This window comes from Homo sapiens, chromosome 20 (assembly GCF_000001405.40).
Source record: "Homo sapiens chromosome 20, GRCh38.p14 Primary Assembly".
Taxonomy (NCBI): Eukaryota; Metazoa; Chordata; class Mammalia; order Primates; family Hominidae; genus Homo; species Homo sapiens.
The window spans coordinates 62,326,812-62,349,560 of NC_000020.11; the positions used below are offsets into that span (position 1 = coordinate 62,326,812).

Below are 22,749 nucleotides of genomic sequence, written 5' to 3' on the forward strand. Positions count from 1 at the left end.
CCACTGCGCCACGCCCACCCAACCACCCTGCCACATCATCTCAGCTCCCTCACCTGCAGCACCACATCCGGCCTGCTCTCCATGGGGACAAAGACATCTCCCCGCTGGGTCTCTGAGTGCAGTTCATAACGGAGGGTCCCACCGTAGGATGACACCTGGAGGCAGGACAGACAGAGGTGACCTGGCCAGACTCTGGCCACAGGCTCAGAGCCCGTCAGCAGTGGTCTGGGCACCCCCAGCACAGAGCCCTGTGCTGGGCCTGGATACTTGCGCTCATTCCCTACCGGGACAGGGCCTGGGCACCCTCACGGACCCCCATGGAGCTCCCCCTCCCTGGACAGACCCCGCTCCTGGCTCCCAACCCTCTCAGGCGTCCTGGCCATCCTCAAAGTGCCTCCCCCAGACCTGATGCCCTGCTTACCCGGTCCCCCAGGTAGGAGGGTGGGGCCTGCCAGTACAGCTCGGGGAAAGCCTCGGGCACAGCCTCAGGCACGTGCCGCAGGTCTGCACGGAGCATCTCCGTCCCTGGCTGCCGCTCGTGGGGCACCACCTGCCGGTCAGTGCTCAGCAGCACCCATCCCTCCATATCCACGAACTGTGGGCACACACGTGTGGCTGCACACGGGTGGATGCCCACACATCACAGGGCCCCATCTTGCATCCAGTCCCACCTAAGACCTCCCCGAGAAGGCAATGCCCTCAGTCCTGCAGGCGCACCTCCTGGCGGGTGTAGGACGAGCTCCGGCAGCGCTCCGTGGCCCCAAAGCAGAAGCAGCGGGTGCAACCTTTGGGGTTGGCAGCATCCAGTGAGAAGGTCCCAAGGCTGCACTGGTCACATTTGGGGCCCTGCACGTTCTCCTAGGGATGAGAGGACAGTGAGAGTGGTCGGCAGGTGCCAGGTGCCTGACCCCGGGTTCCTGGTACCCACCTGCCAATGGGGATGACTCTCCCAAAAGCTTCTAGGAAGCCCCAGCTGCCCCGAAAGGCCCGTAAGGACACTTTCAGCTGATGAGGCCGGAGGGAGAGGCCAGATCTGGGCCCAGCCCTCACTCACCTTACAGTAGCACTGCCCTGTGAGGGGGTCACACACGCCAGGCGCAGTGCCCGCCTCGTGACAGTCACAGGGGCGGCAGCGGGGGTAGCCATGGAAGCCCGGAGAGCAGGTATCACAGCGGCGCCCAGTCACGTTGGGTCTGCACCTGTGGCAGGGGCGGGAGCTGAGCCCCCTCCACCCCAGGTCACTCACACCAAAGTGAGACCTCGTAGGCACCCCCCACCCAGGCAGCATCCTCCCAGAAGTGGAGGAGAGGGCGCTGCTGCACCCAGGGAGCACAAATGGGAGCAGGGTGGGTGCCAGGACCCTCTGGCTAGAGGAAATGCTGTCCTTAAGGCCACCAGGGGCCGCGCTGACGCCGCTCTGGGCTCTCACTTGCACTGGCCGCTGTCTGTGTCACAGGTAGGGTCTGTGAGCTCCTGGATGCCGGGCCCTGAGCAGTTACACTCCTCACAGCCGACCAGGGGGTGGCAGCCAAAGGTCTGGGGCTGGCACAGCAGGCAGTCGGGCGGGATGGTGCGTGGCGGGCAGATGCACTGGCCCGTGAGCTCGTCACAGAGGCGGGCACCGCAGTCACAGGCTGTGGGGCGGGTACAGGGTTTACTGACCCCTCTTCCCAGTCCCGCCCCTCTCAGAGGCCCAGAATGCAGCCCTAGGGGATGTGGCAGTGTGACGGGGGCGGGGGAGACAAGAACAGGGACCCCTGCCCCGGGTGCTGAGCCTTGGACAGCTCCTGACATGGAGGCAGCTGCTCAGAATCAACATCATCGTCAGAGACTGTGGACCACCTGCTGGTCCCTGAAACCTTCTGCATGGCCCGCAAGCTGGAGTCCTGGGCCCAGGCCCGCAGATGGGGCAGCAATGCTGCCCTGCCAGGCTCTAGAACATTCTCCTGACCCTGCTTTCTGGTCGACCCGTCCACCTTGGGCTCTGGCACCAACTCCCTGCCACTGGGCGCCCAAGGACTGGGGTACTCACGCCTGCAGTTGGGGAAGCCCCAGTATCCGGTGGCACAGCGGGAGCAGTCACGGCCAATGACATGGGCATGGCAGGGACACTGGCCCCCGAAGGGCTCACACGTGGGGCCTGTAGCACCTACTTCGTGGCAGCCACATGGACGGGCTCCGTTGTTATAGAAGAGGGAGAGGGAAGCAGCAGCGTTTCGGCAGAACAGGGATGAGCTGCTGGGGCTACATGGAGGGGCACGTGGTGAGGCCAGCTCCCGGCCCAGACCCCCACCCCGGACCCCTGACCTGCCAGAGCCCTGCCCACCTGATGTGGTAGCCCTGGGCTGCGCAGTGGCTGATGAAGTCATAGGATTTATCCAGGGGCTCCTCCCGGAGGTAGCCAAAGCTGTAGACGTTCTCAGGGACCACGAGTACATAATCCTAGGGGGTGAGGCCTGGTCACTCTCCCGCGGGCCCAGAGCCTGCAGCGGGGAGGCCCCCAGAGGCTGGCTGGGACCAGGGTCCTGCAGGCAGCTCAGAGTCCTGGCAGCAGCAGCCCAGCCCAGCCCAGCCCAGCCCTGGGCCCTGGCTGCTCAGGGGAGGCCACTCCAAGCCAAACAGCAGCTTTCGGGGGCATGAGGAGGCAGCAGCATTCATGAGACCTCCTGGTGTCTCCCACATCTCTGTCTGCTGGCCACGCCTTCCTCTTCCCTCTCCTTCCTGGAGGCCCCACCTCCTCCAGGAAGGCCACCCTGACCAGCAGGGTGCAGGGTGCAGGGTCCAGGGCCCCTCTGGAGCCTCACAAGGTGGATCGGGAGGTCCCCAAAGGCAGGAGCTGCTTTGCTGGGCACAAGGCCAGGCCTCAGCAGGCCCAGAAGAGACAGACCCAGCCCAAGTGTACCACAGTGGTAATGACAAGTATAAGGACAGCTGGTCCCTGAGCAGGACATCAGCTGGGACTCACCAGCCAGAGCCACCGGCCCTTGGGCACACGCACGGTCACAGTGAGCTCGCTGTGGGTCACGTCCAGCAGGGCCTGGCCCTCACACACCACCAGGGTGCGGCAGCCGTAGCCATGTGGACAGAAGCTGGCGTTGGCGTGGCCTGGGCGGGGGAGAAAGGCAGGGTCAGGCCCCCATCTCTAGCGCCCCCAAGACACCCAGAGGGTTGAAGATGGCAGCGTTGGGGCAGCCAAGGAGTGCCCGCTGGCCAACGGCCACAGGCACGGGACGTGCCCAAGAGGTCTGCAAGGCCGGCCCCTCATGTCACGGGGGTTGGCCGCATCATGACCTACAGATGTCATGCGGGACACCTCTAGGTACCGGTCAACTCCATGTGCGGGACCCCAGGCTTGGCCGAGCCAGGAACCAGACAAACACACAGGGCCACATGTGCTGCCAGCGGCATCCTGGGGCAAGCCCTCAATTCGCCACGTGCCATGGAGCACAACGGGGCTTCCCAACGCACGAGACAGAGGCGAGACCCAGGCTTTTCTGGGAACGGGAGCGGGCGGGTAGGGGCTGCGGGCTGCAAGGGCAGCTAGTTTGAGAACTGATGGCAGGACAGAGTCATGTTGCCTGTCGCTCATAGCAGGTAGCACAGGCCACGCTGTGGCGCCGGCATTCCAGCCTCATCGTGTGTGGTAGCCTCTCCACCCCCCACACCAGACACTCACCCTGCCACACGCGGCCGGCGTTGATGAGGACTTCCACGGGGAAGGTGGGGTGGGCTGGCTGGTAGCCGTGCAGCAGGAAGGCATAGCGGCCCAGCGTGGGCACATGGGTGGTGAAGACCACGGTGGCCTGCAGGGATAGGCCCTAGTGAGCAGGCTGAGCTATGAGCCCCTGCTGCCCCCTGGACAACCTGCCCTGGGTTGGGACCCGGAGTCCTGCCCTGACACCCCCGTCCCTCTAGAGACTATGGCCCTCACCTGGGGCTCACGCAGCAGGGTGGGCTCTGCATCAGGGTCCACAGCGGTGGGGGGCCGAGGTCGGGGTCCAGCTGGGGACATGGCTGGAGTGAGATCCTGCGCGTGGGTCAGCGGGAGGCCGGGCGGCAGCGGGATCACCTGGCAGTCCCTGAGGATGATGGGCTGGGGCGGCTTTGGGAAGCGCGAGGGCAGACAGGCGGCACTGGTGAGAGCACAGTGGGTGAGTCAGAGCCGGCCCTGCCGCCGGGCCCTCGGCCGCGCCCCTCCCAGCCCCATTACCTGCCATTACCTGTTGGGGCCAAAGGCGCCGTGGCTGCTGATGCAGCTGACCCGGGGCTCCACGAACTCCGGGCTGAACTCCTCAATGGGCACCAGAGTGACCCCGTGCTGCAGGCAGAGGGACGAGATGCTGCAACGCCCGTGGTGCGGGGAGGATAGGGGGTGCAGGCGGTACGATGGGGGGGTGCAGGCGGTACGATGGGGGGGTGCAGGCGGTACGATGGGGAGTGCAGGCGGTACGATGGGGGGGGTGCAGGCGGTACGATGGGGGGGTGTAGGCGGTACGATGGGGGGTGCAGGCGGTACGATGGGGGGGCCGGTCACACAGCTCAGACCCAGGAAACTGCAAACCCAGGCGTCCGACCGAGCCCTGCTCTTTCCAAGATGCCCTTGCTCCTCCTCCAGCTGCACAAACCCCAACCGCAGACCAGCGTGTTGGCCAGTTCCTGGGCCCACAGGCCTATGCGGCTCCTCCCATAGCCCTCTTCCTCCCCCTCGCCCTCCCATCCGTCACTGTTCCCCCACTCTTATCTCGAGTGCTGCTTGGTGCCACCAGGCCGGGCCAGGCCCAGCTCTCCCAGGACCTGACCCAGGCAGGCACTCAGCAGGCACAAGCCGCAAATGGGTGCTCCCTTTCCGTGCGGCCATGTGAGGTTGGTGTCTCGGAACACGGCAACTTATCCGCTGACACAACGGTGGGAGACGCGGCTGCACAGAACATGTTGTGTGGCATTTATAGAAAGTGCCAGGCCAGGTATGGTGGCTCCTGTCTGTAATCCCAGCATTTTGGGAGGCCCAAGAGGGCGGATCACCTGAGGTCAGGAGTTTGAGAATAGCCTGGCCAATATGGTGAAACCCTGTCTCTCCTAAAAATACGAAAATTAGCCAGGCGTGGTGGTGAGTGCCTATAGTCTCAGGTACTTGGGAGACTGAGGCACGAGAATCGCTTGAACCCAGGAGGTGGAGGTTGCAGTGAGCCAAGATCTTGCCATTGCGCTCCAGCCTGGGCGACAGAGTGAGACTCCATTTCAAAAAAAAAAAAAAAGAAAAGAAAGTTCCAGAACAGGCAACCAACGCTGTCTGTGCCAGGAGGTGGCTGCCCTGGGGCCAGGGAGCTGTGACTGCAGGTGCTTTCCTGAGCACATGGAACAGCTCGGGGGTACGTCAAAAGGGACTGAATCCACAAAACGCTTGCAGGAGGGGTTCCAGAAGAAACATGCTGGGCTGGGCATGAGCGAGTGTGGCCGCCTTGGGGACCTGGGACCCCAACTGTCCTCTCCCCTCTCATGCATGTTTCAAATCTTCTGAAAGAAGCTGACCCCTTGGGGTGGGGACCTGAGGGGTCCTTACCAGGAAGAAGCGTGCCTGTTCGGCTGTGAGCCTCACGCTGGCCTCCGAGTCCAGGTGGAAGACAGCCAGGTGGTCCTGGGTATCCCGGGCAGTGCCCCGGCACAGGGTGCTGTGGGGGGAGGGTGGTCAGCAGGTGGGGCAGCCCCGGGCGTGCCCTTACTCCAGCCCCACCGGCTCCCACTCACCTGTACAGGCAGGGGTGCAGGGAGAGCAGCCCCTGCTGGGGGGCCCGCTGTGGGGTGTGCACGGCCACGCCCACCTCCTGGCGGGCATCCTCATTGGCGTACTCCACCACTAGGGCATAGCGGCCTGGCTGTGGCACTGCCACTTGAAGCTGGACGTCCACCTGCAGGGAAGGCAGGGTGACGGGAGGCCCGCCACCCCTCGCCCTTCCCACCTCCCTCCCCTCCCACTCCAGCGCCTCCCTGACCCCAGGGCCTGCCCTTCAGCCGAGTCCCACCCTGGCCCGGACATCTCCAGGCAAGTGGTGGGGGCTGAGCTGTATGTGGAGGCCACAGCCAATCCTACATACAGACAGGCACTGAGGTCACACATGCAGGAGGCAGGAGGCAGGAGGCAGGGGCGCCCTGCCTGGGTGCTGGGCTCCATTGCCTGAGGCAGCGCCCTGCTCCTATAACCTGCCACCGCCACAGGACCCCCAGCCCCCAGGCCAAGGTCCTGCAACACCCATTGCTCCGTGGGGTCCCAGGACACGCACATCACTGCCCGTGCAGGTGATCAGTGGCGGGTGCGACGGGCTGAGCTGCTCCGTGGGGCAGGGCCGGGGCAGGCTGTTGTCCTGGCGACACAGGGCCTCCAGCCCGGCGGCCGAGGGGAAGCCATCCAGGGGGAGGTGTGTGTAGAGGAGGCAGCTGGGGGGACACAGGCCGTGGTCAGCCCCAGGTCCACCCAGGTCCCCAGAGACAGCCTGAGTGGGGGAAGCCAGGCACAGTGGGGGTCCAGGAAGCCCCCACCCCGGTCCCACCGCACGCATGGCCCTCACTTGTCGCCAGACTGCTGGGCAGAGGGACGGTATGTGCAGGCCTCAGTCACCCGCAGCTGCAGGAGCGCCGCCTCGTAGTATGCGCTAGGCAGCAGAACCACGTAGTCCTGCAGGGTGGAGGTGGTGCTGAGAGTGGTGGGCCCCACCCCCTGACCCGGCCCCCAGCCCTCACTCTGGCCCCTGCCTCACCAGGAGCACCCCTTCGGCCTCCACACGCAGGGCCCAGGTGCCAGGGTTCAGCACAAAGGGCTCTCCGAAGCCCCTCTGGGGCACGGTGATGAAGGCAGGCTCCGTGCTGGGTGGGAAGGCCACGGGCTGACTCTGTGCTGTGCCTGGGCGGGGGCAGGGGTGAGACTCCTGAGCCCAGCCCTTGGGGCCACCCCAGGCTGCACCCCCTACAGGGTTGGGGATAGGCTGGTCCTACCACCCACATGAGCCAGAGGAAGGTGGCGGGGCTTGGGAGTGGGGTGGGGTGGGGTGGGCTGGGCTGGTGGGGCAGGGGCTGTGGCCCAGGGACCCCACTCACAGTTGGCGCAGGTGGCCGACCTGCCCTCCTCTCGCACAGAGACCCGCCCGCTCACACTCATGGCCCCCCGGTTGACGTATCGGAAGACGAGCCAGAAAAGGTCAGGGGAGGTCAGGTTCAGCCTGGCCACGATCCTGGGCTGGGTGGGCATGGAGCGTCGGGTCACTCTCCCTGACCACTGCCAGCCTGAGGCCTGGGCCTTCAAGGGGCCTGCCCACCCCTCCCTGCCAGCCACGCCTGGCTCCACTTCTAGGCTGAGCCTGGGAGGGGGAGCACAGCGCCCACCTGGACAGGTGCCATCTGCGCGTAGCCCCTCCAGCTGAAGTTCTCGAACTCGAGGGGGTTGAAGCCAAAGCGCACGGCGTGACCCTCAGGTGTGGCAGCCTCCTCCAGCTCCAGGCGCAGGTGGTGCAGGTCCGGGAGGTAGTGGTCCCTCGCAGGCCTGGCCACAGCAGGGGCTGGTCAGGTGCAGCTTGGCCATCCTACCTAGCCCTGCACAGCGGCCCCGGGTCTCCAGGGAGGGTGAGGCCTCACGTGGGCCCATGGTGAGGGACACGGAGAGGCCCGGAGGACAAGCTGCCTGCCCCGCTCCCCACCACCCAGTGGGGAAGGGGTACCCACTCGCTGCAGGTGGGGCCCTGGGTGTTGGGGCGGCACCGGCAGACGCCCGTCCTCGGTTCACAGCTCTGGCCCAGTGCACCGCCAATGTCACACCGGCAGCCTGCAGGGAGAAGGTGGGAGGTCAGAGGCTGCCTGGCCCCCACCCAGCCTCAGGGGCCCCTCACAGCCAGACTGAGAAGCCTGCCTGGGGCTCTCTGGATGATGGAGAGTCAGGGCTCAGGGCTCAGGGCTCAGGGCGAGGGCGAGGGCGAGGGTGAGGGCGCTGGGATCTGTTAGTGCCGTCTGCCCAGGTGTAGGACAGGGGAGAGGAAGCCACGCATCTGGGTGGGAGCTGCACCCCCTCTCCCACACCCTGGCACAGGCTGGCACCAAGGGGCAGCCATCCATCACCCGGGCTTCATGCTGCCCAGGCTGCACTTGTCCCTCCGGGCCTTGGGTTCCCCAGCATAAACCGAGGGGAGGCAGGGCTGTGGTCTGGGACGAGCGAGTGGGCACTCACTGCGGCAGCCAAAATAGTCAGCCTGATCCAGTCCAAAGAAGCCATCCTTGCAGGACGCGCAGGCCTGGCCGCACACGTGGGGCTTGCAGAAGCACTGGCCGGTGCCCTGGGGGCCAAGGGAGGAGGTGAAGTGGGGCAGGGGAGGGTCCTGACCAGTGTGCCCCCAAATCCCCCACACCTTGGTCCTCAGACTCACCGGCTGGCACTCAGCAACTCCACCCAGTGTGCCCCTGAGGTCGCAGCTGCAGCCTGGGGAGAGCAGGGCAGGACTCAGATGCTTGGTGGGGCAGGAGAGCCTGGCTCCAGCCCCCCGAGGAACCCCCACACCCTAACACCCCCTCCAGGGCACACTCACAGGCTCCAGCACCCCCAGGAGCCCCTGCACCCTGACACTCCCTCTAGGATACACTTGCAGGTACAGTTCCCCAAGGAACCCCTATACCCCAACACTCCCTCCAGAGCACACTATAGGCTCCAGCCCCCCAAGGAAATCCCATACCCCAATACTCCCTCTAGAGCACACTCAGACTCCAGCCCCCCCCCAGGAACCCCTGTACCCCAACACTCCCTCCAGGACACCCTCATGGGTACAATCCCCTGAGGAACTCCACACCCCAACATTCCCTCCAGGGCACACTCACGGGTGCAGCCCCTCCGAGGAACCCCCACACACTAACACCCCCTCCAGAGCACACTCACAGGCTCCAGCACCCCGAGGAAACCCCGTACCCCAACACTCTCTCCAGGGCACACTCATGGACTCCAGTCCCACGCAGGAACCCCCTGCACCCCAACATTCCCTCCAGGACACCCTCATGGACTCCAGTACCCCCCCAGGAACCCCTGCACCCCAACATTCCCTCCAGGACACACTCATGGGTGCAATCCCGAGGAACCCCACACCCCAACACTCCCTCCAGGACACACTCATGGGTGCCATCCCCTGAGGAACCCCACACCCCAACACTCCCTCCAGGGCACACTCACAGGTGCAGCCCCTCCGAGGAACCCCTATACCCCAATACTCCCTTTAGGGCACACTCACAGGCTCTAGCCCCCCAAGGAACCCTCATACCCCCAATACTCCCTCAGGGCACACTCGCAGCCCCCCTGAGGAACCCCGCACCCCAACATTCCCTTCAGGGCACACTCATGGGTACAATCCCCGAGGAACCCCATATCCCACCACTCCCTCCAGGGCACACTCACTGGCTCCAGCCCCTCCAGGAACCCTGCACCCCAACACTCCCTCCAGGATATACTTGTGGGCACAGTTCCCCAAGGAACCCCTGTACCCCAATACTCCAGGGCACACTCACGGGTACAGCCCTCGGGGTTGCTGGGGCTCAGTCCCCAGAACCCAGGTTTGCAGCGGTCACAGCTCGGCCCCTCCACGTGAGCCCGGCACATACAGGGAACCTGTGCCTGGGAGAGGACAAGACTGCAGGTCAGAGCGGGCGCCCTGCTCTCCCACCCACAAACCATAGAGCCATAGAGCCCTGACAAGGGGTGGTGAGGGCTGAGGGCCCTCACCTGTGACTCACAGGAGTCACCTGCAGTGGGGGCAGAGGACCAGCCTAAGGAGCAGACAGGCCCTGGGGTTGCCATGGCAACTGAGCAGCAGGCAGGAAGCCCTGGTCTCACCGGACTCGGGACTTTTAGCTTGGCCTGGGTCCTCACCCATCTCCCACACACGAGCAGACTTGGGCTCACCTCAGGAAGGGCAGGATCCACTGGGGCCAGACCGGCAGGGTGGCAAGAGCCAGCTGTGAAGAGAGGACCATGCCTCGGTCATTTCCCAGTGACCAACCCGGAAGGCCAAGGGTGTCCCAGGCCCAGCCAGAACCCACGGTCCCACAGGAGCTGAGGACCAGCACAGGTGCCTCTCATCCACATGGACGGCCTGAAAACACGCACCTCCCTGCTCCCTCCGCAGCAACGGACGTGCCATCCCACCACACAGCACCTGCTCATGGACATGCACGCAAACGTGCACCGCGTGGGGTACCCGTGTACATTCCACACGCAGTGTGTGACACACGTCTGAACAAGCACACAAACGCACGTGAAGATGCACCCACTACACGTGCACTAACACACCCACACGCCCGTGAAAGGACATGAACACGCACACCCACACTTGAGACACGCGATACGCGCACCCACTTATGCGATACGCGCACCCACTTATGCGACACGCGCCCACATGCGACACGCAACACATGCACCCACGTGACACACAAACCCACTTACGTGACACAGGCACCCACACTTAGGTGACACACACACCCACACAAGCAACACATGACACCCGTACACACACAGAACGCAACACATGCACCCATACGAGACACGACAGGCGCGGATGCACAGCACGCAGACACGGGCAGTACGCGGACACCCCTGCACGGCATGTGAACAAGGTGCGAACACAGAGCGTGGGGACGCAGTCGCAGTACACACAGCAAGATGCACGTGAACAGCCTCACAGGAAGGCAGGCAGCGTGTGAACAGCACAGACCCACACACAGGCCCGGCACCTGGTGCACACAGCCACCTGCCTGCTCACCTTCGCAGTAGGGGAAGTTGTAGGCACCGGGCACACATGTGTCACACCGCAGCCCCGTCACACGGGGCCGGCAGCTGCACTGCCCACTCCGGGGGTCACAGGCTGCGTGCAGGGAGCCTTCAGCAGAGCAGTGGCAGGCTGCAGACAAGGATAGCTGTGGGCACGCAGTGGAGACTGCACCTGCCTCCCCACCACTTCCTCCCTAGGCACTCACGGACACAGCTGGGGAAGCCGTGAAAGCCGGGGCTGCATTCCTGGCAGGCAGTGCCTGTGTAGCCGGGGCGGCAGCGGCACAAACCTCCCGCCCCACAGAGCTGGTCCAGGGCTCCCCGAGGGTCGCAGGTGCATGCTGCAGAGGGACAATGGGGTCAGGCCCTGGCGCCATGTGGGTGGCAGAACCCCTTCCTGCCCTGACCCTCTGCTCACCTTGGCAGTTGGGGAAACCATGGTAGCCAGGGCGGCACCGGTCACAATGAGGTCCAGCAAACTCAGGCTGGCATAGGCAGCGGCCGGCCTCATCGCAGCCCTCGGGCAAGGTTCCTGCAGGGCTGCAGCCACACACTGCAGAGCGGAGCGGGTGTCACGGTAGGCCAGGCCCACGGGCCTCCCCTACCCACGCCCACGTGGAGAGGCACCACTCACACTGGCAGAGAGGGAAGTGAAAGTAGCCGGGGGCACAGCGATCACATGTGGCCCCCTCGAAGCCCACTCGGCACCTGCACTGGCCTGTGTCAGGGTCACAGCGGTCATCGGCCACTCCAGGGCTGGAACACTGGCAGGCTGCAGGAAAGGGTGGCCCACATGCTTGGTCAGAGGCACCAGGCCTCAGGTGTCCACCTCGAGCGCAGGTAGAGGTTGAGCGGGGAGAGGGGACTCACGCTGGCAGCCGGGGCCGTAGAACCCTGGCGCGCAGAGCTCACAATGGGTGCCTTGGAAGTTGGGTTTGCACAGACAGCGTCCCACCCTTGGGTCCTTCCGGCAGGCGTTGCCCTGGGTCCCTGCCGCGCTGCAGTCACAATCTGGAGGGTGGGGACAGGCAGGGGAGTCTCAGATGCCCTGCAGACCCCAGTACGCCCCTCCTGGCAAACCTTCCCTCTCCACAAACTCATTTTCTTACACTTTTACACAACACTAACTAGAAAATAAAATAATAAAAATCCCAGCAAGGGCTGGGTGCAGTGGCTCACGCCTGTAATCCCAGCACTTTGGGAGGCCGAGGCGGGCAGATCATGAGGTCAAGAGTTCGAGACCAGCCTGACCAACATAGTGAAGCCCTGTCTGTACTAAAAATACAAAAATTAGCTGGGCGTAGTGGTGCACCCCTGTAATCCCAGCTACTTGGGAGGCTGGGGCAGGAGAATCGCTTGATCCTGGGAGGCGGAGGTTGCAATGAGCCGAGATCGCACCACTGCACTCCAGCCTGGGCGACAGGGTGAGACTCCGTCTCAAAAAAAAAAAAAAATTCCAACAAGGGAGAGGCGTGTTTGGGAAAACAGTGATGTGCAACAAAGTCAGGCCAACTATCAAAACGCTTCATTAGTTATTTCTTACGTAGATTCCTAGTTAGCTGCAAGCATTAACACAAAGAGAAAATACAAACAAATCAAAACTCAAAACAAGCTGCAAAACAAATTATAGTTTCTTTTTTTTTTTTTTTTTTTTTTTTGAGACGGAGTCTTGATCTGTCGCCCAGGCTAGAGTGCAGTGGCACGATCTGGGCTCACTGCAAGCTCTGCCTCCCGGGTTCACACCATTCTCCTGCCTCAGCCTCCCCAGCAGCTGGGACTACAGGTGCACGCTGCCACGCCCGGCTAATTTTTGTATTTTTAGTAGAGACGGGGTTTCACTATGTTAGCCAGGACGGTCTCCATCTCCTGACCACGTGATCCGCCTGCCTCGGCCTCCCAAAGTGCTGGGATTAAAATTATAGTTTCTTTAGAAACAATGTCAGGTGTTGGGAAGAAGGTAGAAAGAATGTATCAAATGTCTTAACTTACGCATGAAAGGAGGGTTGTGAGCACGCTTCAGTTTTGTTACTGATAGAAAAATAAAGGTTCAATACTTGTCAAAAATGTAAGAGTAACCACTGGTCAGACCAGAACACAGAAAGAGAGCTTGCAAACCCTCCCCAGAGAGGAAACAGTAGCAAAAACCAAAATCAAAGCACGTTTTCTTGCTCTAACTTGTGAAAGTCAGGAAAGGAAATGTTTCAGCAGAAAAGGAGAAATGATACAAGGGCAGGAGCCAGCCAGAACTGACAGAGGCAAGGACGATCGTGGGGCTGCGCTGTCTCCTTCATGAGATAAAAACCGAAGACGTCAGCGTGACCAAGAGGAAACTCCAGCCATAGCCTCTTGAAAGAGCGTACCTTAAACCAACGCCTCAGACAGGTGGTAAACCGAGAGCTGTGTGCAGGGAGCTGGGGTGGACGCAAACACAGAGGAGTGAGGACGGAAGGCACAGCGGTAACGAGACAGAGGGAAGCTCAGGCATGTCACCCAACGGGCAGCAGAAACGAATCTCTAGGAGCAGGTAACGTGTCCTGGAGGTGAGGGAAGCTAAAACTATTAAAATGGCAAGGAGAATTTGGCAAACCAGAGTCAGAGAGAGACAAAGACTGGATGGAGATACATAGGTAGACTGTGACAGCTCAGAGGGACAGAAATTGAGCAAGGGTACTGTGGGTTTGAAGAGCATAATGAACAAGCCTCCTTTGTTTTTTTTTTTTTTTTTTTTTTTGAAATGGAGTTTCGTTCTTGTTGCCCAGGCTGGAGTGCAGTGGCGCCATCTCAGCTCACTGCAAACCCTACCTCCCGGGTTCGAGCCATTCTCCCGCCTCAGCCTCCCGAGTAGCTGGGATTACAGGCATGCGCCACCATGCACAGCTTATTTTGTATTTTTAGTAGAGACGGGGTTTCTCCATGTTGGTCAGGCTCGTCTCGAACTCCCGACCTCAGGTGACCTGCCCACCTCAGCCTCCCAAAGTGCTGGGATTACAGGCGTGAGCCATCGCACCTGGCCACAAGTCTGCTTTAACATGCCAAATCGGTACTCCATAGAGAACACACATTCCTGTCCAATGTTCCTGGAACAATCTAAAAGTGGTCACATTCTGGATTAGAAACAAAGAAAATCTCAAATTCCAAAAACAAAAGGCAGAAACTGCCAGGCGCAGTGGCTCATGCCTGTAATCCTAGCACTTTAGGAGGCTGAGGTGGGTGGATCAACTGAGGTCAGGAGTTCGAGATCAGCCTGGCCAACATGGTAAAACCCCATCTCTACTAAAAATACAAAAATTACCCAAGTATGGTGGTGGGCGCCTATAATCAGTCCCAGCTACTCGGGAGGCTGAGGCAGGAGAATCGCTTGAACCTAGGAGGTGGTGGTTGCAGTGAGCCGAGATCGTGCAACTGGACGCCAGCCTGGGTGACAGAGTGAGACTCTGTGTCAAAATAAATAAATAAATAAATAAATAAATAAATAAATAAATAAAATTAAAAAATAAAAGTCGTCACATTCTAGGTTAGAAACAAAGAAAATCTCAAATTCCAAAGACAAAAGGCAGAAACTATCAGTGTGCCAAGTCTAACCACGATGCAGCAAAACCAGAACTGCACACCACGAAAAGGACAGGAGGGAAACCTCAGCACCTTGAACAGTGACGGGTTGAAAGAAAATAAAACCCCAAATGATAGACTATTTAAAAAAAACACAGCAATGAGGACACCCCACATCTCAAACTACAAGATACCTAGCCAAAGGTATACTCTGAGGAAAATTTATAGCTTTAAACTAGAGTTTCCCAGCCTCAGGACTACTGACAGTCCAGGCTGGATAACTCTTTGTTATGTGTGCAGGAGCAGTCCTGTGTTGTAGGAGGTTCCCAGCATCCCTAGCCTCTACCCACTGGATCAGTTACATCCATCAATCGTCACAACCAAAAATGTCTCCAGACATCATCGAATGCTTCCTGTGCATCAAAGTCACCACTGGCTGAGAACCACTGCTTTAAGCCTTTTTGTTGGGAATGAAGACAGACTAAAAATAATAACTCAAGAAGCTATTTTAAAAAAGTGATAAATCAAAGAAAGTGGATTAAAGAAATTGAATATTAGAAAGGAAAATCTCTCCTCCCAACTAAAGAAAGAAAAACCTCAGCAGGTCTTATCAAGAGAACTGCACCTGTACTTCGAACAGACCAATAAACTCAACGAACCTCTGTTAGGTCTGATCAACCAAAAAAAAAAAAAAAAAAAAAGAAGAAGAAAGAAAATAAAAATAAAAATAGACGAGAATAGAAATGAACAGAAATTTTAACTTTATAACAGGCCACTGTGCATAACTTTATGTCAATACATTAAAAAATCCAAACAAAATACACAATTTGCTAATACAAATAATCAAACCTGACTTAAGATGAGGAAGAAAACTGGCCAGGCGTGGTGGCTCATGCCTGTAATACCAGCACTTTGGGAGGCCGAGGCAGGTGGATCACTTGTGGTCAGAGTTCAAGACCAGCCTGGCCAACATGGTGAAACCCCGTCTCTACTAAAAATACAAAAAATTGGCCAGGCGTGGTGGCAGGTGCCTGTAATCCCAGCTACTCGGGAGACTGAGGCAGGAGAATCGCTTGAACCCAGGAGGCAGAGGTTGAAGTGAGCCGAGATCGTGCAACTGCACTCCAGCCTGGACGACAGAGTGAAACTCCATCTCAAAAAAAAAAGATGAGGTAGAAAATTGAATACAATAGCCACAGAATACATTAAAACCTTAATTTAAGATCTCTGTTGAAAAACAGGTATCAGAGACCAGGCTCAGTGGCTCACACCTGTAATCCCAGCACTTTGGGAGGCCAAGACGGGTGGATCATGAGGTCAGGAGATCGAGACCATCCTGCTTTAACACGGTGAAACCCCATCTCTACTAAAAGTACAAAAAAATTAGCCGGGCGTGGTGGCGGGCACCTGTAGTCCCAGCTACTCAGGAGGCTGAGGCAGGAGAATGGCGTGAACCTGGAAGGCAGAGCTTGCAGTGAGCCGAGATCGTGCCACTGCACTCCAGTCTGGGCGACAGAGCGAGACTCCGTCTCAAACAAAAACAAAAAAACAAAAAAAAAAGAAAAGAAAAACAGGTATCAGGACTAAAGGGTTTTGTAAGTTTGACCAGACTTTTAACAAGTAAATAATTTCTGTGATTTTTAAACTGATTGGGAGCATAAAAAAGTGTGGATGATTTCCCAAGTATTTTACAAAACCAAAACAATCTCACTTGTGAATTTAGACAAAATAAAATATTGATGTTCAACACTGTGTCCCCATTAGGAAAGACAATACAATTCATTGTAATGAACACATTGAAAGTGAATACTGTACAGCCACAGGTAATTACTGAGTGCTTACTATGGCCCAGTAGCGAAAAGATAAATTGTCAGTTTACACCAGGGATTAGCAAACTAGTCTATGGACTCCTCGCTTGCTTTTGTAAATAAAGTTTTATTGGAACGCCGCCAACCCCACTCATGAATACGCGTTCTATGGCTGCTTGCAAGCTACAGCTGGTAACGGTAGAGCTGAGGAGTTTCCCCACAGGGACCACACGGCCCTCAGTCTATGACATTTACCGTCTGGGCCTTTTCCGACAGTTTGTTGACCCCTGGTTTACACTATTGATGAAAAACTAAACATTTCCACATAAAAAAACCATCACAGAACCAGCAGACAAGAGAATTCCTGGGTAAGGGAGGAGCATCTACATCCGACTCAGCCAGAGATTCGGTAGAACAACGTGGGCAGATTCACCTCAAAATTTACAAAATCAGGACACGGAAAAAAGCTCCCCCCCAAAATAAGGGGCAAATGACCCATCAGGAGAAAAACACACAACTTATAAGAAATAGGTGATACAGGCTGGGCGCAGAGGCTTACGCCTGTAATCCCGGAACTTTGGGAGGCTGAGGCGGGCAGATCCCTTGAGGTCAGGAGTTCGAGACCAGCCTGACCAACATGGAGAAACCCCGTCTCCACTAAAAATACAAAAATTAGCCAGGCATGGTGGCGCATGCCTGTAATCCCAGCTACATGGTAAGCTGAGGCAGGAGAATCACTTGAACTCGGGGGGCAGAGGTTGCAGTGAGCTGAGATTGCAGCATTGCACTCCAGCCTGGGCAACTAGAGTGAAACTCCATCAAAAAAAAAAAAAAGAAAGCACTCGAAAAGTCAAGAAGATTCAAGCTTACAGAGTAGTCAAAGTGCAGCTAAAAATGACACAATATCGTGCCAGGCATGGTGGTTCATGCCTGTAATCCCAGCACTTTAGGATGCCAAGGCAGGCGGATTACCTGAGGTTGGGAGTTCGAGACCAGCCTGACCAACATGGAGAAACTCTGTCTCTACTAAAAATACAAAATTAGCTGGGCTTAGTGGCGGATGCCTGTAACCCCAGCTACTCGGTAGACTGAAGCAGAAGAATCGTTTGAACCTGGGAGGCACAAGTGGTAGCGAGCCAAGATCACACCATCACATTCCAGCCTGGGTAAAAAGAGCGAAACTCCATCTCAAAAAAAAAAAAAAAAAAAGACGTCATATCAAATACAATCTAAGTCTAAGACCCCACTCACTGGGAAAGATGCCATGCTTGTATGTCCCGTCATGAAAGGGAAAAACCCTACCAACTAGACTGTGATATGCCATCAAGCAAAAGACGCATCCCAATTCCAGAAACACTAAAAAGCAAGGGAACATGGCTCTGACTTGAGAATATTTTTTGTCTATCAAGCCAAGAGTGATAGACTGCTATGTGGTAATGGCAATGATTTGGTCAGCAGGTGCCATGCTGCTCTGTGGCTGTGACTGTATGCTGGGAGACTCTTTTTTTTTAAATTTATTTTTTGAGATGGAGTCTCGCTCTGTCACCTAGGCTGGAGTGTGATGGTGGTTCTCAGCTCACTGCAACCAGGTTCAAATGATTCTCCTGCCTCAGCCCCCCAAGTAGCTGGGATTACAGGCACGCACCACCACGCCTGGCTAATTTTTGTATTTTTAGTAGAAATGGGGTTTCACCATGTTGGCCAGGCTGGTGTCTAACTCCTGACCTCAGGTAATCCACCTGCCTCAGCCTCCCAAAGTGCTGGGATTACAGGTGTGAGCCACTGTGCCCGGCCAGTTTTCTACCTCATCTTAATAATGCTTTATCACAGCATAATTAAAAAAAAAAAGAACCTAGATTTCCAACCACTGGGGGTTGTTTAAATAAATACTTCATTAGTCCCTATGAAATGGACCACAAGACAATGTGTTTACAGGATTGTGGTTGGGATGTAATCACAGGACAGGGTGCAGAGCGCATGACGAAGCTTGTGAAAGAGAAGTGCTTGTGTACAGAGAGCATTCAAGCGCTGTGCAGAGCTGGGGGAATTGTGGATAACTTTTTGTTTTTGTTTTTCTTTTTGAGATGGAGTTTCGCTCTGTTGCCCAGGCGGGGGTGCAGTGGTGCAATCTCGGCTCACAGCAAGCTCCGCCTCCCGGGTTCAAGCGATTTTCCTGCCTCAGCCTCCTGAGTAGCTGGGATTACAGGTGCCCGCCACCATGCCCAGCTAGTAGAGACGGGGTTTCACCATGTTAGCCAGGCTGGCCTTGAACTCCTGACCTCAGGTGATCCACCTGCCTTGGCCTCCTGAAGTGCTGGGATTACAGGCGTGAGCCACTGTGCCCAACCAATTTTCTTTTTTTTTTTTTTTTCTATTTTTTTTTTATTATACTTTAAGTTTTAGGGTACATGTGCACATTGTGCAGGTTAGTTACATATGTATACATGTGCCATGCCCAGTTTTCTTTTTTGAAACAAGGTCTCACTCTGTTGCCCAGGCTGGAGTGCTGTGGTGTGATCATGGCTCACTGCAGCTTCGGCCTTCCAGGCTCAAGCAATCCTTCCACCTCAGCCTCCGGAGTAGCTCGAACTACAGGCACACATCACTACACCCAGCTAATTTTTGTATTTGCTGTAGAGACAGGGTTTTACCATGTTGCCTGGGCTAACTTTTTTCTTTGGCTTTATGCTGACCTATATTTCCGAAGGTTTTCCAGTGTGAATAGGCATAATTTGCATAAAAAGAAATAAGCCAAAAATAAAGTGACCAAATGAAAATCCTCCCTTTCTCCAGGAACTTTCTGTGAAGCCGCCCCCATGGCTCCAGGGCAGGCCGGGGACCTGGGGGCCTCAAGGACACTTACTCACAATCTGGCCGGCTGGCAGCACCTGCTCCCTGGTGTCATTGGAGGACGAGGGCGTCGCTGAGGGGAAGAGACACGCATGTTGGCCAGGTCTGCTCAGAACCCTAGCACCCTACACCCCCTGCCACCCTTGGTCTCTCAGCACAATCGGAGATGCAGGCAGGATAACATGGTCCATCCCGGGGAACCCCTCCACCCCCTGCAGGGCTCCCGGAGTCCAGCAGGCAGTGGTGTCTGTTTGGATGCCCCTGGCAGGTGCTCACGGTAGCAGCTTGGGAAGCCCGTGAAGCCCTCGGCACACACGTCACACCGCTCCCCAGAGAAGTTGGGCCGGCAGTAGCATCGACCCGTCAGGTCCTCGCAGGTGCCATCCGTGAAGTCGGACTCGCAGTTGCAGCCTGGGCAGGGGCAGGAGCCGGGTAAGCCTGGAGCTACCAGGACTCAAGGGGTGGGCTCCAAGATGTGGCAGTCTCTACCTCCCCAGCCAGGGCCATGGGGATGAGGGCTACAGCCAGGCCCCCTGGGGGGACATGAGGGCTGGGGACCCGCCCCGTGGCCTGGGAGGCTCCTTCCTGGGCTGGCCTGGAAGCTCAGGACATCCCCTCCAAAGCAGCCCCAAAGGCCCAAGAACACCTCTTTCCAGGCAGACCCTGAGACCCAGGACACCCGCCCAGCTGAGCCCACTCACGGCGGCAGACGTGGGGCGAGTCGAGAGGGTGGTTGGGAGAGCGGTAGAAGCCGGGCAGGCAGCGCTCACAGTTGACGCCGGTGGTGTGGTGCTGGGAGTGCAATGGCCGTTGAGTCTGGGGAGGTCCCTGCCCCACCTCAGGGCCAGCCCATTCCCAGCCCTCTAGCCCAGCCCACCTGGCAGTCGATACAGACACCCCCACCCTGATAGGTGCCATCCAGGCTCTGGCTGGCGCGGCGCCGGTCCACCTCAGGGTCGTAGTAACAGTCGGTGGCATGGCCGTAGCAGTTACAGGCTAGAGAGAGGGGAGCGCAGCTGTTGGCACGCCCTCCACAGGCCCGGGCACCGGGGCCCTCTCATGGGCCAGGGTGTGGGCAGGACACACGTGTGTGGGAGGAGGCACTCACACTGGCACTCGTTGGCACTGTTGGCAGTCGCAGGCTTCCACGGCTGCTGATTGAAGCCGGGGCAGCAGCGGTCGCAGGTGCCCCCGCAGGTGTTGTGCTGGCAGGTGCACTGCAGCCTGTGGGGTACACAGGAGGGGGGATCAGGCCCATCCTGGAGGCAGGTGGCAGGTGCTCAGTCCCTTCCCTGAAGGGGCCTGTGATCCCCTCGATGGCTTGGCTTGCCACATGGACACGGCCCCCCGCTGCTGTTTCTCCAGCTGTCCGGCAGCAAGCGCTCGCCCAGACTCAGCGTCCCCGAGCCTGTGGCTCTGACGCAACTTCCCCAGGCTCAGGGAATGGACACAAGGAAAGAGGCGGTGGAGGACAGGGTCTCACAGGGCCTTTGTGGAGGCGGGACTGGGGAGCAGGTGTGCACTGACCGGGTGGGGCCTAGGACAGGGCACCTCAGGGGTCAGTAGAGTCCCCCTTGCCTGCAGGTCAGGATGGAGACCTGCGTTCTCCAAAACTGAGTTATGCCCTTTCCACTTCGGCCAGGACTCGAGCGTAAGCCCAAAACCTCCCTGAGCCAGAAGGGAAAGGGGTCCATTTGCACCCCCCAAGGCTCAGATTTCGCTTAGCAGGCAGGACTCCTAGGCATCCTGGTCACCTCCCTAGGGCCAAGTGGCCAAGAACTGCTTCCTTCTTCCAGCTGGGGTGGACACTAAGTCACAGGGCTGGAATCTTGCCTTACGTCCCGTGGGCAGGGTGACAGCTGGAGAGAGACAAGGCCTGAGGTTGGAAGCACCTACTGCTCAGTATTAGCCAGACCACAGCGGGAGTCCCTGCCCCAGATCAGGCTCTGCCGGAGGCTGCAGGGCCGTGCGTTCCCTGAGCAGGACCCCAGAAGTCAGTCCAGTCCATGAGGATTAGACCCAGAGCCTCAAATGGTCCAGCTCTAGTCCTGTCCTCCACGGGGCCCACCTCACAGGGCCTCGGGAATCAATACTGCTTTCCCTCAGAATCCAGAAACATCTGGGAGGGCCATACCCTCAATGAGAGGAATTGGGAAATAAACTGCCCGTCAGCACAGGTGATCAACAAAGAAGCTGCTCTGTCGTCACACCAGCCCCAAGTACCTATAAGCAAGGGCCTGAACTGGTGTTCCATTTTTCAAAAATCCACATAGTCAAGAAATTGATAGGAAAAGTGGTGCCGGGCTGGCGATACCCTGGGGTGTATAGCAAAAGCTCTCCCAAAACCATCCCAATCCCAGGGCACGCCAGAAGCACAAAGATAAACCCTGCTAAAGACCTTGCAGAGAAACAATGTGGCAGGTCAGCAGAAAGAGCCCCAAGAACCTCACAAAATGGAGTAATCTAGTAGAAGCCAGGGAAGAATGTTAAAAATGGTCATAAAGAAATCTAAAACATAGGCCGGGCGCAGTGGCTCACGCCTGTAATCCCAGCACTTTGGGAAGCCAAGGCGGGTGGATCACGAGGTCAGGAGATCGAGACCATCTGGCTAACAAGGTGAAACCCCATCTCTACTAAAGAAAAATACAAAAAATTAGCCGGGTGTGGTGGCAGGTGCCTGTAGTCCCAGCTACTCAGGAGGATGAGGCAGGAGAATGGCACGAACCTGGGAGGTGGAGCTTGCAGTGAGCCGAGATTGCACCACTGCACTCCAGCCTGGGCAAGAGTGTGATACTCTGTCTCAAAAAAGAATAAAATAAAATAAAAAAGAAATCTAAAACATAATAATAAAAAAAATAACACTATGGAAAACAGGCAGATGTGAAAAAGAACCAATCAGAACTTCTAGAAATGAAAAATGAAACTATAAAATTAAAGACTCAATGGATGGGCTAAACAGCAGACAGACACAGTGGAAGAGAGATTTAGTGAAGTGGAAGAGGAGCAAAGGAAGCTATCCAGAAGACACCTCAGAAGATAAAGAGAGAGGAAATAGAAATTATGAGAAGGAAACCAGAAGGTGCTCCTGTATCTAATGGGGACTCCAGGGGAAAAGAGGTAGGAAAGGGAGCCAACAGTCAGAAAGAATGGCCAAGGATGGTCTTGAATTAATAATGAACACATGGCCAGGCGCAGTGGCTCACACCTGTAATCCCAGCACTTTGGGAGGCCGAGGCAGGTGGATCACGAGGTCAGGAGATCGAGACCATCTTGGCTAACATGGTGAAACCCCGTTTCTACTAAAAATACAAAAAAAAATAGCCAGGCGTGGTGGTGGGTGCCTGTAGTCCCAGCTACTCAGGAGGCTGAGGTGGGAGAATGGCATGAACCCGGGAGGCGGAGCTTGCAGTGAGCCGAGATCGTGCCACTGCACGCCAGTCTGGGCAACAGAGTGAGACTCCATCTCAAAAAAAAAAAAAAAAAAAAAAAGCGTGAGTCCTGAGCAAGAAAAAAATCCCAATCCTCAACACATCACAATAAATCTGCAGAACACCAATGGCAAAAAGACCATAAAAAGTCCTGGAGAAGAAGATGACCCACAGAGGATCAGCAACTGCAAGGACAATGGACTCTCCCAAGCACCTGGAGAGGTGAAGAGACAGTCAAATCATTTCTCCAAAGTGCTGAGAGATGCAGCTATCAACCACGAATCCTACAGTCAGCTCAACTATCATTCAAGAGGGAGGACAAAACAGC

At 57.4% G+C, this 22,749-nt stretch overlaps 1 protein-coding gene, 1 long non-coding RNA gene and 1 other non-coding gene across 10 annotated transcripts in view, besides 1 other annotated feature; 1 reads left to right on the forward strand and 2 right to left on the reverse strand.

The window, feature by feature from the left end:
• LAMA5 (laminin subunit alpha 5) overlaps nucleotides 1-22,749 on the reverse strand; it is a 58,248-nt gene that overhangs the window by 17,747 nt on the left and 17,752 nt on the right. For 4 of the 8 annotated variants that reach the window (NM_005560.6, XM_006723796.4, XM_047440150.1 and 1 more), the window contains exons 7-39: nucleotides 20,102-20,217; nucleotides 19,871-19,989; nucleotides 19,695-19,785; nucleotides 19,270-19,404; nucleotides 19,007-19,066; nucleotides 11,657-11,797; nucleotides 11,421-11,558; nucleotides 11,205-11,339; nucleotides 10,993-11,127; nucleotides 10,779-10,916; nucleotides 9,923-9,975; nucleotides 9,529-9,634; nucleotides 8,406-8,458; nucleotides 8,210-8,315; nucleotides 7,711-7,810; nucleotides 7,375-7,531; nucleotides 7,090-7,228; nucleotides 6,753-6,895; nucleotides 6,564-6,670; nucleotides 6,279-6,432; nucleotides 5,746-5,906; nucleotides 5,561-5,669; nucleotides 4,221-4,318; nucleotides 3,932-4,133; nucleotides 3,677-3,803; nucleotides 2,966-3,105; nucleotides 2,327-2,442; nucleotides 2,033-2,244; nucleotides 1,430-1,634; nucleotides 1,055-1,199; nucleotides 718-858; nucleotides 422-595; nucleotides 54-155 (exon numbers count right to left, since the gene is read on the reverse strand). In NM_005560.6, the coding sequence (NP_005551.3) occupies nucleotides 54-155; nucleotides 422-595; nucleotides 718-858; nucleotides 1,055-1,199; nucleotides 1,430-1,634; nucleotides 2,033-2,244; nucleotides 2,327-2,442; nucleotides 2,966-3,105; nucleotides 3,677-3,803; nucleotides 3,932-4,133; nucleotides 4,221-4,318; nucleotides 5,561-5,669; nucleotides 5,746-5,906; nucleotides 6,279-6,432; nucleotides 6,564-6,670; nucleotides 6,753-6,895; nucleotides 7,090-7,228; nucleotides 7,375-7,531; nucleotides 7,711-7,810; nucleotides 8,210-8,315; nucleotides 8,406-8,458; nucleotides 9,529-9,634; nucleotides 9,923-9,975; nucleotides 10,779-10,916; nucleotides 10,993-11,127; nucleotides 11,205-11,339; nucleotides 11,421-11,558; nucleotides 11,657-11,797; nucleotides 19,007-19,066; nucleotides 19,270-19,404; nucleotides 19,695-19,785; nucleotides 19,871-19,989; nucleotides 20,102-20,217 (4,258 nt within the window). The remainder of the gene's footprint in view (nucleotides 1-53; nucleotides 156-421; nucleotides 596-717; nucleotides 859-1,054; nucleotides 1,200-1,429; nucleotides 1,635-2,032; nucleotides 2,245-2,326; nucleotides 2,443-2,965; nucleotides 3,106-3,676; nucleotides 3,804-3,931; nucleotides 4,134-4,220; nucleotides 4,319-5,560; nucleotides 5,670-5,745; nucleotides 5,907-6,278; nucleotides 6,433-6,563; nucleotides 6,671-6,752; nucleotides 6,896-7,089; nucleotides 7,229-7,374; nucleotides 7,532-7,710; nucleotides 7,811-8,209; nucleotides 8,316-8,405; nucleotides 8,459-9,528; nucleotides 9,635-9,922; nucleotides 9,976-10,778; nucleotides 10,917-10,992; nucleotides 11,128-11,204; nucleotides 11,340-11,420; nucleotides 11,559-11,656; nucleotides 11,798-19,006; nucleotides 19,067-19,269; nucleotides 19,405-19,694; nucleotides 19,786-19,870; nucleotides 19,990-20,101; nucleotides 20,218-22,749) is intronic. The other 4 variants (XM_047440148.1, XM_011528818.3, XM_047440149.1 and 1 more) reach the window with 2 other exon arrangements.
• On the reverse strand, nucleotides 5,676-5,746 carry MIR4758 (microRNA 4758). The gene has a single exon (NR_039915.2). It is a non-coding gene; the product is annotated as a microRNA 4758 (primary transcript).
• Nucleotides 13,163-21,492, forward strand: LOC124904946 (uncharacterized). Its single transcript, XR_007067699.1, has 2 exons — nucleotides 13,163-13,310; nucleotides 18,937-21,492. It is a non-coding gene; the product is annotated as an uncharacterized LOC124904946 (long non-coding RNA).
• Nucleotides 13,223-13,352: an enhancer, noted in NCBI's record as "active region_18197". NCBI's record gives its function as "activates an Ori minimal core promoter by ATAC-STARR-seq in GM12878 lymphoblastoid cells {active_cell/tissue: GM12878}" and the evidence as "EXISTENCE:reporter gene assay evidence [ECO:0000049][PMID:35858748]".